The sequence below is a fragment of the Homo sapiens genome, chromosome X, assembly GCF_000001405.40.
Source record: "Homo sapiens chromosome X, GRCh38.p14 Primary Assembly".
NCBI lineage: Eukaryota > Metazoa > Chordata > Mammalia > Primates > Hominidae > Homo > Homo sapiens.
This window is the reverse complement of record NC_000023.11, coordinates 92,608,540-92,623,618: the sequence shown is the minus strand read 5'-3', so window position 1 is coordinate 92,623,618 and position 15,079 is coordinate 92,608,540. Positions and strand designations below refer to the sequence as shown.

At 34.7% G+C, this 15,079-nt stretch overlaps 1 protein-coding gene across 13 annotated transcripts in view; it reads right to left on the bottom strand.

The window, feature by feature from the left end:
- The window catches only part of PCDH11X (protocadherin 11 X-linked), an 843,856-nt gene continuing 829,165 nt past the window's right edge, over positions 389-15,079 (bottom strand). For 11 of the 13 annotated variants that reach the window (XM_011530911.3, NM_032968.5, XM_011530910.1 and 8 more), the window contains one exon: positions 389-5,355. In XM_011530911.3, coding sequence (XP_011529213.1) covers positions 4,679-5,355 — 677 coding nt within the window. In that variant the 3' untranslated portion in view covers positions 389-4,678. The remainder of the gene's footprint in view (positions 5,356-15,079) is intronic. The other 2 variants (XM_017029416.2, XM_017029419.2) reach the window with 1 other exon arrangement.

Below are 15,079 nucleotides of genomic sequence, written 5' to 3'. Positions count from 1 at the left end.
TATTTTGTTCCACAAATATTATCAACCATCTCCAGAAACTTATTTCACCTGGATCTCCTATGGTTGTACAGAGAAATCCTTAGGTAACTTTTACATTAAGTGAAGCAATAGATCTAATCTGGAATAAGTAAATATCACTTAAATCTTGTCTTGAACGATGCAAAATAAATGTTCAGAAACACTACAATAGTGTTCAGCAATTTTGAAAAGTGATTGAAATTATGTTCAAGTCAGAAATTATATTGAAGGAGTTTTCAGAGTGAACAAAAATATGCTAAATCCAAAATGTACCATTGAAAAAGGGTATTTTCTATATACATTTGAAAATCTATTTAAAATAAAGTGAATCATTTGAGTTTTGAATTAACACACACAATAACAATGAATGTTTATTTCTCATAACTTTTATTAATATATATTAATAAGAAAACATGCAATACAGAACCTGAAATAGAACAATTAATACAAGTTTGCTTCTGGATTACATACTGCCATCCTTGGCCATACAATAGTCAACCTTCTTACTTCCAAAGCATGGTTGGAACTGCTTTGGGATACTGTTCACTTTCAGATGCTGTATGATATCACAGAGGAGGAATCTTCCCACAATACAAACATAAATACATATTTCATAAAAATCTTAATATTTTAAGCAGGGATAGTATAAATTTCACACAGTTTACTCTTTAAAAAGTATCACTTACAATCACTAAACAATTGCCATTAATTTTTTTTATTTGTGCACATACATTTTTCTGAGCAGATTTTTTTGTTACTGTTTCTGCTGTTGTCAACTTGAACTGCTTTTAAAAATCATATTTACTAAAAGCACATGACGGTTAGTGTAAGAAAGCTACTGTGAAAGAATATTTTAAGGCCTCTGCATAAAATTGATCTGGTGTGGTAATTGGCACATAATATAGAAAGGTTCTTGCAGAAATATATTTCAGCTTCTCTTGCTCCCATGTTTTCCCGGCCAATTGAGCCAGTTGGAAGCATTCAAAATAGTTTCTAATGGTCATAATAAAAAGTTTACCTAAACTAACTATAAATTTGGTTTCCAAAAAATATAAAAGAAGAAAGATAAGAAATAATAATTATAATAAAAAATATAAATCAGAAGAGTATAAATAAAAGCCTAAACAAGTAGATTTTCATAAATGTGTATTAGGGAGTATACACACCTTCAGTAATACCATGAAAAAGAAACAAACAAAAAAAACTAATGTTGAAATAGCCATGTGAGTAAAACGCCTTTAATTTTCTCAGGATTGAAAAGGATTTTTTGTGTGTGTGACATAATTACATTTTAAGAACTGAACAATTTGTGATTTGTTTAGTCTATTTTTTTCCCATTTAATGACCATGTGTGATAAATATTAGTTTGGGAAGGCAGAGGCTCTTTGTAACTGCTACCATTACACAATAGCACTAACCATTTATTATTATTTTCTAACCAAATTTACATAATTAAAAGTAAAATGTTAAGTAAATAAGAATACACAAAATTACTCTCTAAATTTATTACATTGTAGATATCATATGTAAAAGCTAATTTTTAATACACTGACACAATATTAGTTAAAACACAGGTAAAGTTTAAGAAAAGAATGTGTATGCACGTAGCATATAAGATACTTAGTATTTGAATACATACTCACAAGTGTGATATAGTAATACCATAGCTAGAAAATTAATAATCACAATCTAATGGAATATGGACACAAAATAGAATAACTACTTTGATTGAACGTATTATTCTCATATAAGTCATTCAGCTTGAAGTTTTAATTTCAAATCAAACAAAATCCTTTTTAAAACAGAACCATTTTTTGATTGTTGGTTCAGTAAGACGTTTTGCAGTTGTAGGACTACATACATCATACATCACAATAGCCACTTGTGTGCTGTGTCAACCTATACCACTGTCTATTCAGTCAGAGAAATAACTTGTAATGTGATGAAAAAGATATCATCAGATCTGAAGCCCTAGAAGTAACAGGTTTCCAAGGCCAGACCTAGTGGACGCTTAGAAAGAGAAGGAAGGCATAGGGGAGAATAACTGGGCTAATACCCCTTGCCTCTTTGGCTACTCTCAGCCTGCTTCCATTCAAAGCCTCTCTGGTAAAAACCAAGAAGAGGGTGCCCAGTCATTTAATATTCTAAACACAATCTAAGTCTGATTATAAAATCAGAGTTAGAAAGGGTAATAAAAGCGTATTGGTTCATTCCTATATCATCTATAGGAAAGGTGTCAAAACGTCACAAGTTTCCAGATATGAGGATTTAAGAACCTCCCTAGTAACTCAATAAATTATACTGTCAGAAGAAAAATCCCAAATATCCAACTTTGAGTCCTATTTGATTTTCACTAACATAGATAGTAACCATTGAGATGCCTGATAAGTTATTTAATAATCTTTCAACCTCTTCTTTTTATATCATTTAAATGTGTGTGTGTGTGCACGTGTGTGTGTGTGTGTGTGTGTAGATCATCAGAAAACTAAAGTTTTGCAGAGAGAAAATGTGAAAATAATTAAAACACAAGAAAAAATCTCACATCATCTTTGCAGGTTTTTTGAGGCAAAGAATGTTCTAAAATCTACTGGAAGCACTGATTTTTGTCACTATTGGTTCTTTTCTTAATCTTCCCCAAGTTTAAAATTTTCAACATCAACAATAGCCACAATATCAACACATTTGTATGATAATAATTTAATAAACATTCAAATATCATCAGTCCTTCGGGATTCACATGCACCTGGAAAACCAGTATGCTCCAAATCCCTTGGAACATTAACAACACGAAGGAGAAAAAACATTAATTAATTTTATTAATCAAACTCTGATAGTTAAAAGTTAAGAAGTTATTCTGCACGCCCAGTCAAATATGACTTAAGGAACTTTACAATGGATGGGAATAATGTATATTCTGAAAACGCTACTTAACCTGCTGGGCACATGAAAAGAAACTTTCTCAATATTCAGTGGAAATCCTCACCAATGAAATTATGCAATTACCACAGTTTATGTTACAAAATTTACACACAGTTTAATCATAAATTAAATATCAAGTTATACATTACAAAATCTATGTCTAAGTTAATCAATAGGAGATATTGACTCCCCCCCCCACCCCAACCGCCCCCATTAAACATCAATTGTCTCTTGGTTTAGTGTTATACTGAAACAAGGTATTTTCTCAGTTTTGCTATGGAAGAAAATTAAGTTGGTGATGTTTCTGTACATTTATAAAATGTGCACATACAAGATAATGGCCAGTTAAGAGGATACAAGAAGGAAATAACAGACAACAGAAGAAAACTAATGTTTTCTATGAATAGTACTGTTTCTTTGCTTAGAAGAATATATTTTATTTCATATATGAGATTTTGATGGTTTTTGTTCTGTGTGTGTTATTGGTATTTCTTGTTGACTGCAAGAAGCAGTCATGTGCCTTATTTCTCCCTCTGCATTTTTCCTTAAAATTCTGTTTGATGTAGATTTATAATTACATTTCTTGAAAAGTTCCTTCCTGATATTCTTGTTGTTATTAGTGGTTTTCTTCAGTAAGTTGAGCTAGAATAACAAAAATCCCTTAGTCTTATAGATTTAGTATATGGTTTTATCTACAGTTACATGTATTTGTTATTTTTACTGAACACCCTTTGGTAACAGCCTATTGAGCTGTCAAATCAACATTTAAATCTTCCTGAGTTTCTCTACAAAATAGTAGTTTACCGTCGATATTTTAAGTGACTCGTGCTTTGGATGCATCCACCTCCTTTTAATTTTCTAGGCTGTTACATACAAATTCCCAGAAGTAAAGACCCAAGTAATAATGGACTACAGGCTTAAAATGGCAGATACAGCTTTATTTCTGATGTACTTTACACTAAACTATTAAAGTAAAAAGAGGCCCTTTTTAACAAATAGTTGCTTAATTAGGGCAGTTATTGCACTTCTGTGTCTCGAACTCTACTAAAGAGTAGAGAAATAGGTTGTAGATCTAGATCTGTACAGTTTATACATATTCTTTATTGAAAATGTATATACAAATTTTATCAACAATATAGTATTGGAATAAGGTAGAAAACATGACAGCAGAGAGACACAAACAAGCAGTATTTACACTACCTACTGCGTATTTTGAAGGGAGACTCACTAACAACAACAAAAAAACTGAAAACAACAAACAAAAATCAAAAAGAAAGCCCAAAAAAAGGCTAGAGTACGTATACCTTTTAACGTTATCTGAACAAAAGTTTAGGTAAACTAAAGGTAAACTTAGAAAATAAGATATTTCTAGGCTTTCCATTTGCTACATACTGGTTCCACACAATCAGCATGGAAACAAATCAGTAATATTGCACATGATGATAAAAACAACAAAAAATACTGTACATCAGAAATAGTGCGCTCTGTCATGATAAGCCTTACTGTACAAGGGGATGCAAATTGTTAAATTCCTTTTCTTTTTAAATACACATTCTGAATTAAACAAATTGCAATTTTTTGGTTAACTATTGACTAAGGGTCTAGCTGTAGATTTATTCTGGTATCTGTTTCTATTTACATAGTTATTTACAAATCTGATAATCAGAATACTCATTGGAATTGTATCTTAAATTTTGACTATATACATCTTTTCTGAAAATTTGAAGTAACTATTTTAGCTTTACAAGGGATGTTCTTCCATAATGGGGGAATCACCTCTGGACGGTCTGGCCTGTTGGCGTGGAGTGAAGGTTGTCAAAGGAATGACTTTAATTGAATCATCACTGGGATGAAGTCTTTCAGACATGGTGTAAAACTGAGATGTTGCACTACCTTGCACTCCCTGATCAACAGAGCATAGCCCATCAGCACCTTGCACCCAACCTTGCTGCAAACTGACTGATGATTGGGCCTGACTACGATGGAGGGCAATAACCTGTGGCAGAGGAGAGCTGTGGCTGATTGCAGCAGCCTGTGCTAAAGGAGGGCTGTAGCAGAGGGCTGAGGCCTGTGCTGATGGTGGGCTGTGGTGAAGTGCAGTAGCCTGCACTAGAGGAGGACTGTGGTGGAGAGCAGACACCTGTATCGGTGGTGGGCTGTGGCACAATGCGATGGTCTGTGTCACTGGAGGGCTGTGGCAGAGAGCAATGGTCTGTGTCACTCGTGGGCTGTGGTGCTGAGTAGAGGCCTGTGACAGTGGTGGGCTGTGGCATAGAGCAGAGGCCTGTGCTTGCGAAGAGCTGGAATGATCCAGAGATGCCGGCATCCAGCAGGCATCAGAATGGCCATAGATGAGACATTCTTGAGTGCAGTTGTCAGAGGCCTCTTCCACAGTTGGTTGAACAGTTATTTCTGCAGCTGTTGGGGTGAGGAAAAAAATAATAAAATTTATATTTCAAAGGCATATTTTTATTAGCCACTTAAATATCATTGTGACAAAAAAGGTAACAACCTATATACAAATGCATTAAAGACTTCCATTATTTATAGAGTTGGTATTTTTAATTTGTCAGTAATTCTTAGGGAAGTATAAATGACTTGGAGTGGGTGGATGAGGTCTCATTATCATAATTGGCATCCTTTGGCCTAGTATCCCAAATGTAGGTATTTTTTATTGTATCTGTGACCCTCAAGGAAACTATGATCATTCATCTATACATGCAAGTCAGCTGAAATATGGCTTCTAACTAGCACTGAGAGAGGACATAAAAGCAAAATTAATTGGAAAACAAATTATAAGAATATATAATGAACTAATTATAGCTAAAAAATAGTTAGCTAATAATAAATTACATAAATTTGGAAGTATAGTTTATTGAACTCTAAGATATGCCTTAGTTTCAAGAATAAAATATAGTCATAATTATTTCAAAAATAAGTGATTTCGGTATCCTTTATTTGCTGGAATCATCTTAAAATACAAGTTAGCAACATAATAAACTAGAGATCCAAGTATTTAGCTGTAAACTATAATAGTTTATAATACTCTTTTTATGAAATTTCTCTATAGTCTTCAAATGTCAATAGATATCAAACATCAATAAAAATATTATACAAATTTTAGTGAAATAGAGATGGAGTTACTATATCTATATAAAGTTTACTTGAGAGCAAGAAATGCTATCCAGTATAAAGAAATACATTATATGACAATAAAAAGATCAATTCTCTACGAAGACGTATCAATCCTGTGTGTATGCACCTTACAACAGAGCTTCAAAATATAAGCAAAATAAGCTAGAAATGAAAGGATAAATAGACATATCCACAGTCATACTTGGAGACTACAATACTCCTTAGAACTTGATGGAAAAAATAGAAAATCAGTAAATGCATAGAAGACTTGAGCAATATAATCAACCAACTAGATCAAAATTTATATTAGTAGAACTATTCAATTTTAGCAAATTAGAAACAGGGGAATATCTTCAAATTGACATGCAGGTCCTACAAAAAGATAACAGCTGACACGATATTCAAAGGTTAAGTATTGAATACTTTTCCCCAAAAATCAGAAACAGTAAGGTTGACACCACTCCTATGTGACATAATATTGTAAGTTCTAGACAATGAAATAAAGCAAGAAAAAGAAATGAAAGACATACAGATTGAAAATAAACAACACTGTATCTATTCACAGACACATTTAGGTATACATGTAACAAAATGTGTGTGGAATCTGTGTGCTTAAAATTTAAAAAAAAAGATGAAAAAAATAAAGAAAATCTAATTAAATGGAGAGATACACCATGTTCTTAGCTTGGAATACTCAATATTGTTATGATGTCAGTGGTCCCACAATTGATCCGTAAAGTCAACATAATCTAAATAAAAAGGAAATCTTAGATGGATCTTCTGTTTTTGCAGATATCAACAAGCTGATGCTATAATTTATGGGGAAAGGTAAAGGAATTAGATTAGCCAACCAATTTTGATTAAAAAAAACCTATTTGTGGACTCACATGATCTGATTTCAAGATTTACTATAGCACGTACCTAATCATTACAATGTAATATTATCAAAATCATAAATACAAAATGATTAATAAAAATAGAATAATCAGTCCAGAAATAGATCCACAAAATTCTACAGTGATTTTCAACAAAGGTCTGAATTCAATGGTGAAAGTATAGACTTTTCAACAAGTGCCAACAGAATGATTATAGGTTATAAGCAGAAAATTAAAACTTGACCCACATCTTTAATCTTATAAAATAATTAACCTGGAATCAATCAAAAGTCTAAATGTAAAATGTAAAACTATACAACTTCTATTAGAAAATATTGGAGAAAATCTTTGTGACTATCAGTTAGGCAGCATTCTTAACTACAACATCAAAAGCACAATTTATTTTTAAAAATATGCTAAGTTGAGCTTATTTGTAATTAAAAATATTTACTTTGCAAAAGGCAATGTGAATGAATGAAAAGGCAAGCTACAGACTGGGTAAAAATATTTGCAAATCACATTTCTGACAAGGGAGTTATATATTTAAAAAAGGATGTAAACTAACAATAGATTTTTTTTCCAAGATGACTGATTAAATCCTTTTATCATGCCTCAGTGACTTGGAAATAGCAAGATAGTGCATAAAGATCAACTTTGTGAGCTTTAATTCAAGAAGAAAAATGAGAATCCACCAGTATTGTGAAGGGGGCCCCAGCGGGGAGGACATGGGAAAGCAGTCCATGTGATGGCATCCAGTTGATAAAAGTAAGTGAAGCCCCAGTACATGAGAGAGACAGAGAGCCTCCCTCTGTGACTCACCTTTCTACTGGGGATCTGAGCAACCCAAGAGGAGGGAGAATATTTTGTTTCTTTAAAGTCCTGGTGCTAACCTGGGGAGAGGCTTGGAGACCTGAGGGGAAAACACCAGGAAAAACTACAGAAATTTGCCCAGGCCAAGGACTGACAGCAGGATGCCATTTTTAATCCAGGCACATACAAAATCAGCCATTCCTTTGAGACCTAGCAGTATGGCCATGCAGGTATTTTAATCTCAGGCCAGAGATTGGAACACCTGCTCTGGAGCAGGGTAGGGGCTTCCATAGCCAGAACTGTAGAAAGCACCACAGCAGTAGGTACCAGAATTTTACACTCCCCTGTTGAAGCCCTGGGGCAGGAGAAGAGCTGCTATAGCTGTGTTTTCTCCTGGATGATGAGACTTTCATTCAAGGCCAGCTGGCAACCTGAAACTGACTTGCGTATGCCATTAATGGGTGCCCCAGCATGCTCCCCTTGAGATTGTGGTATAGCAGGGCCCTCTCCGTTCCACCTCCATGCAGAAATCCAAGCATCTGGAGCGCCCACTTGCTTGAATCAGCAATCTGAGTTGCCCCACTTTTCATGGACATAAATTGTGGTATAGCAGGCACTTCGCACTCAATACCCAAACAGATCTCCAGGTGTTTGAAGCACTTCCTCACCTGGATCAACAGCTTTACCTGCCCCTATTTCTGTGCATAGATGGTGGTGCAGTGGGGCTTTCATCACAACACATGCAGACAGATCTCCAGGAATTTGGAGTACTTGCTCACATGGACTAGTAGCCTGAGCAACCCCGCCCTTGTTGGCCATGGATCATGGTGCAGTCAAGCCCTCTACATTTTATGCCCAGGCAGATCTTCAGACATTCAGATCACCCACTCACCTGGTTCAGCAACCTGGAGCTGCCTCACCCCTACTATGCAGAGATCTTGGTGAAGGGTGGTTCTCTCTGCTTCACAAACAGGCATCTCTCTCTGCTCCACACCCAGGCATATCTCTAGGCATGTGGAGCACTCGCTCTCCGACCTGGATTAGGAATTTAGGCCTCCCCTAATCCCTGTCCAGAGAACTTGGGGCTGAGGAGGTTTCCCAGCTCCATGCCTAGACACACCTTTGGGTGTTTAGTGGCTGTCCACTGGATCCTTGCTAAGTGCTGGTGTTTGTGCCTGACATCAGGGGACATTTAGGCAGGCCATGCTAATCTTGGACCTGTCCTAACATAGGACAGAGCAAGGAGCTCAGACAACTGTGCACTCCACAGATCAGCCCATTGCCTAAGATGAGAGAGAGCTTCTCCCAGTAAACAAGGATCATGTATATACCTAGCCACATCAGGTACAGCCAGCTCTCACCCATAAGTACCATCTACTGGCTTGTAGGTTGAACTACACACATCAATATAAAACCTGTCAACGAAACTACATAGGGTTACAGAAGCAAAGACAAGTGACCATACCCAGCATTCACTACAGTCACACCCTGTAGGGAGGAGAGGAAAGGGAAAGGGAAAGAAAAAAAAAATAATAATGTTATACTGAAATAAAAAACAAAAGAAAATATCCTAACACAAAATTACAAAAATGAGAAGTGCCAACATTCTCAGATGAGAAGAAACCAGTGCAAGAATTCTAGCACTATGAAAAATATGAATGCAGTGACATCACCATAGAATTGCAGTACCCCTCCACCAATGGTCCTTAACCAAAATGTAAATGCAGAAATCACATAAAGAATTCAAAGCATGGATTTCAAGGAAGCTCAGTGAGATCCAAGACAAGCTGAAAATGAACACAAATAACTTCTAAAGCAATCCAGGAAATAAAGAAAGAGATAAACATCTTGAAAGAAAGCAATCAGAACTTCTGGATTTGAAAAACTAACTTAAGGAATTTAAAAAATACAATTGAAAGCTTTAACAATAGACTGTACCAAGCAGAAGAAATAATTTCAGAGCTTAAAGACCAGTATTTTGAAATAACATAGCCAGATAAAAATAAAGAAGAAAAGAATTTTAAGAAATAAGCAATGTTTTTGAGGAATATTAGATGATGTAAAGCGAAGAAACCTACAAATTACTGGCATCCCTGAGGAAGAAGTGGACAATGTAGGTAACTTGGAAAACAATATTTGAGGTAATAATTCAATAAAAGTTCTCTGATCTTGCTAGAGAGACAGATATCCAGATTCAAAAAATCCAGAGAACATCTGAGAGATATAATACAAAATGAGTATCACCAAAGCATATGGTCACAAGACTGTCCAGGGTTAACACACACACACACACACACACACACACACACACACACAACAACAACAACAACAAAAAAACTTAAAGGCAACTAGAGAAAAACGTCAGATCACATACAAACGAACTCCATCAGGCTAACAGTGAACTTCTCAGCAGAAACCTTACAAGCTAACAGAAATTGGAGGCCAATTTTTAATATTCTTAAAAACAAGAAATTCCAACCAGGAATTTTATATCCCACCAAACTATGTTCCATAGGCAAAGGAGAAACAAACGATTTTACAGACAAGCAAGCCCTGAAAAACTTTGTTACCATCAGGCCAGCCTTATAAGAGATTATTGAGGAAGTTCTAAACATAGAAATCATAGCAGCTAGCAGGAAAACAAACTTAAATACATAGCCCAAAGACCCTATAAAGCAACCACAAAATAGGAAACACAAAGCAAACAGCTAACAACTTCATGATAGGATTAAAACCTCAGATATCAATATTAACCTTGAATTTAAATGGCCTGAAGGTCCAATTTAAAAGATATGGAGTAACAAGCTGCATAAAAAAGCCCTATCAGTCTGCTGTCTTCAACAGACCCAACACACATGCATAAACATCCATAGACTCAAAGTAAAGATCTAGAGAAAGATCTACAGTGGAAACAGAACACAAGAACAGGGGTTGCTATTCTTATATCAGATAAAACAGAGTTTAAAGCAATAACAACAAAAAAAAGGGTATTACATAATGGTTAAGTGTTCAATTCAACAAGAAGACTTAACTATACACATACATATGCACCCAGTATTGGAGTGTTTTCTTCTTATAAAACAAGTTTTTCTTGGTCTACAAAAAGACTTAGAAAGCCACACAATAATACTGGGGGATATCAACATCCCACTGACAGCATTAGACAGATCATCAAGACAGAAAACTAACAAAGAAATTCTGGACTTGAATTTGACACTTAACCAGTTGGACCTAATAAACATGCACAGAATACTCTACCCAATATACATGTATATACAGAATATATAAAGCATAGTCTCAATAAATTAAAAAAATTGAAATCATACAAACTATTGAAAAAATAAATAAGATTGACAGGCTACTAGCTAGATTAACAGGAGATGATCCAAAGAAGCACAGTCACAATAGACAAAGGTGGCATTGCAACTGATCCCACAGGAATTCAAAAGATCCTCAGAAAATATAAACACCTCTGTGCACACAAAATAGAAAATTTAGAGGAAATTGAGAAATTGCTGGAAGCACACAATCGCCCAAGATTGAATCAGGAAGGGATTGAAACCGTGAACAGATCAATGCTGAGTTTTGAGATTGTATCAGTAATTTTAAAAACTACCAAACAAACCAAAAACAAAACCCAGACCAGATGGATTCAGAGCCAAATTGTACCAGACATACAAAAAAGAGATGTTACCAATGCTACTGAAACTATTTAAAAAAAAATTCTAGTAGTAGGGACTCCTCTCTAACTCCTTCTATGAGGCCAGCATCATCCTGATACCAAAACCTGGCAAAGACACAACAAAAAATGAAAATTATAGGCCAATATCTCTGATTAACAAAGACACAAAAATTGTCAAAAAAAATATACTAGGAAACTGAATCCAACAGCACTTCAAAAAATTAATTGACCGTGAAGACTGTGATCAAGTAGGTTTCATTCTTGGGATGCAAGATTGGTACAGCATATGCAAATCAATAAATGTGATTCACCGCATAAACAGAAGTAAATTTAAAAAAAAAGTGATCATCTCAGTAGACACAGAAATAGCTTTTGATAAAATCCAGCATCTCTTCATGATAAAAACTTTCATATATTAGTCACTGAAGGAACACACCTTAAAGTAATGAGTCATCTATGACAAACCCACAGCCAACATCATACTAAACAGGCAAAAACTAGAAGCATTCTTTTGAAAGCTAGAATAAGACAAGGATGCCCATCTTCAGTACTCCTATTCAACACAGTACTGGAAGTGCTAGACAGAGAAATCAGGAAAGATAAAGAACTAAAGGGATCTAATCAGGAAAAGAAGATGATAACCTATGTCTATTCATGGCCAGTAGGATTCAATATGTAGAAAACCCTAAAGAACATTGAAAGGCTCCTGGAACACAAAAGATTTAGCAAAGTTTCAGCATACAAAATCAATGTGCAAAAATCAGTAGAATTTCTATATATTAAAGCTGAGTGCTGAATCAAGAATAGAATTTTATTTGCAATAGCCAAAAAAAAAAAGCTAGGAATAAATCTAACCAAGGCAGCAAGAGGTTTGTTTGTACAAGAAGAACTACAAAACACTGCTAAAAGAAATCATAGATGACACAAACAAATGAAAAAGCATCCTATGCTCATGGATTAGAAGAATAAATATAAAAATGGCCATACTATCCAAAGCAAAATACAGATTCAACACTCTTCCTATCAAACTACCAAAGTCGTTTTTCCAGAATTTGAAAAAAAAAAAACTGTTCTAAAATTTATATGGAACCACAAAATAAGCCAAATAGCCAAAATAATCCTAAGCAAAAAGAACAAAGCTGGAGGCATCACATTATCTGACTTCAGACTGTACTATAAGGCTACAGTAATAAAAAGAGCACAGGACTGATGCAAAAGCAAACACATAGACCAATGGAACAGAAATAGAGAACCCAGAAATAAAGTTGCACACCTACAGCCATCTAATATTTGACAAAGTTGACAAAATTAAGCAGTGGGGAAAAGACTTTCTATTCAATAAATTGTGCTGGGACAGTTGACTAGCCACATGTAGAAGAATGAAACTGGACCCCTACCTATCACCATATACAAAAATTAACCTAAGATGAATTAAAGATTTAAATGTGAGACCAATAACTGTAAGAATTCTAGAAGGAACCATACGAAACACCATTCTGGACATTAGCCTTGGCAAAGAATTTATGACTAAATCCTTAAAAGCAATTGCAACAAAAACAAAAATTGACAAATGGGACCTAATTAAACTAAAGAGCTTCTGCAAAGCAAAATAAGCTATCAACCAGGTGAACAGACAACCTATAGAATGGGAGAAAATGTTCCCAAAGTATACATTCAGCAAAGGTCTACTATCTAGACTGTAGAGAACATAAACAAACAACAAGCAAAAAACAAAAGCCTCCATTCAAAAGTGGGCAAAAAATATAAACAGACACTTCTCAAAAGAAGACATACAAGGGGCCAACAAACATATAAAAAAAATTCCTCATCATTCTTCACCAGATAAATGCAAATCAAAACCACAATGAGAATCTATCTCACACCAGTCAGAATAGCTATTATTAAAAAGCCAAAAAACAACAGACGCTGACAAAGTTGGGGAGAAAAGAGAATTTTTATACACTGTTGGTGGGAATGTAAATTAATTCAGCCTTTGTGGAGAGCATTTTGAAGATTTCTCAAAGAACAAAAAACAGAATTACCATTCAACCCAGAAACTCTCATTACTGAGTATTATCTCCAAAAGAAAACAAATTGTTCTACCAAAAAGACACATGCACTTGCATGTTGACACAGCACTGTTCACAATAGCAAAGACATGGAGTCAACCTAGGTGACCATCAGTGGTGGATTGGATTTCTTATATATAGCACGCATATACCATAGGATATACGCAGTCTTTAAAAGAACAAACTATGTTATTTGCAGCAACATGGGTGCAGCTGGAGGCCATTATCCTAAGCAAATTAACACAGCAACAGAAAGCCAAATATCGCATGTTCTCCCTTATAAGTGGAAGCTAAACATTGGGTACTCATGGAAATAAAGACAGCAACAATAGACACTGAAGAGTATTAGAAGGGAGAGAGGGGAGAAAGGGTTGAACAACTATGAATATGATGAGATTATTCATACCCCAAACCTCAGCGTCACCCAATATACCCAGGTAACAAATCTGCACATGTACCCCCTGAATCAAAAATAATAGTTGAAATTTAAAAAACTAAAAAATAACAATAAGAAAATGAAGAACTCAATTAAAAAACTGGCTAATATCTGTATAGACTATCAAGGAAGACATGAATATGTCAGATAAGCATATAATTAGAGGCTCAGCACAGTCAGACATTAAAGAAATGCAAATTTAAAATGCAAAGAGATACCATTCTATTTGAGTGATTAAAAGAACAAACTAAAAATACCAAGTGCTGGTAAGTATTCCAAACATCTAGAATCTTCAATTGATGCTGCTGCTGACACAGAATGGCACAGGGAATTTAGATAACAGTTTGTCAACTTCCTATAAAGCTAAACATACACTTGAAAAACAAAAACAGAAAAAAAACCCAGCAATTCCAGTCCTGCATATTTATGCAAAATATTTGAAAACGTATGTTATCGTAGAAATTTTTATGTGCAAGTTAAACAGCATTATTAATAATCACCAAAAGGTAGAAATGACCCTTACTGTCTTTCAGCTGGTAAAAGAATGAACTGTGTCATAGCCATACACTGAAATACTACTCAGCAATAAAAAGAAGCATATTGATTCTTAGAGCAACATGGATGAGTCTCAAATGAATTTTGTTAAATGAAAGAAGCCATAATCAACAGTCTACATCGTGTATGGTTCCTATTATATAACATTCTGGAAATGGCAAGCTTATAGGGATGAAAAACATACCGGTGATCGCCAGGAGCTGGGAATTCAGGTAATGTTGACTAGCAGAGCAGCACAAAGAAATTTTGGGAGTAATGAAAGTGTTCTCTATATGAAAATGGTGATAGATACATGATTGTATGCATTTGTCAAAACTGGTAGAACTATAGAACATGAGTGAATTTTATTGTACGTAAATATAAAAAACAGCAATGAGTGATGTCAACTGTTGAGAAATTATACTTTTTATAAATTATCTTTTGCCTCCTTTATTCAATTCAGAATTATTTTTTCCAGAAAAATATCCTAATCAAATTAAATAGTATTGCATCCAAATAATACATGCTTCTTTGTGGACTCACTGCTTGAAATATTTTTAATACAAAGTTATCAAATTCAAAACATAATTTTGAAAATTAT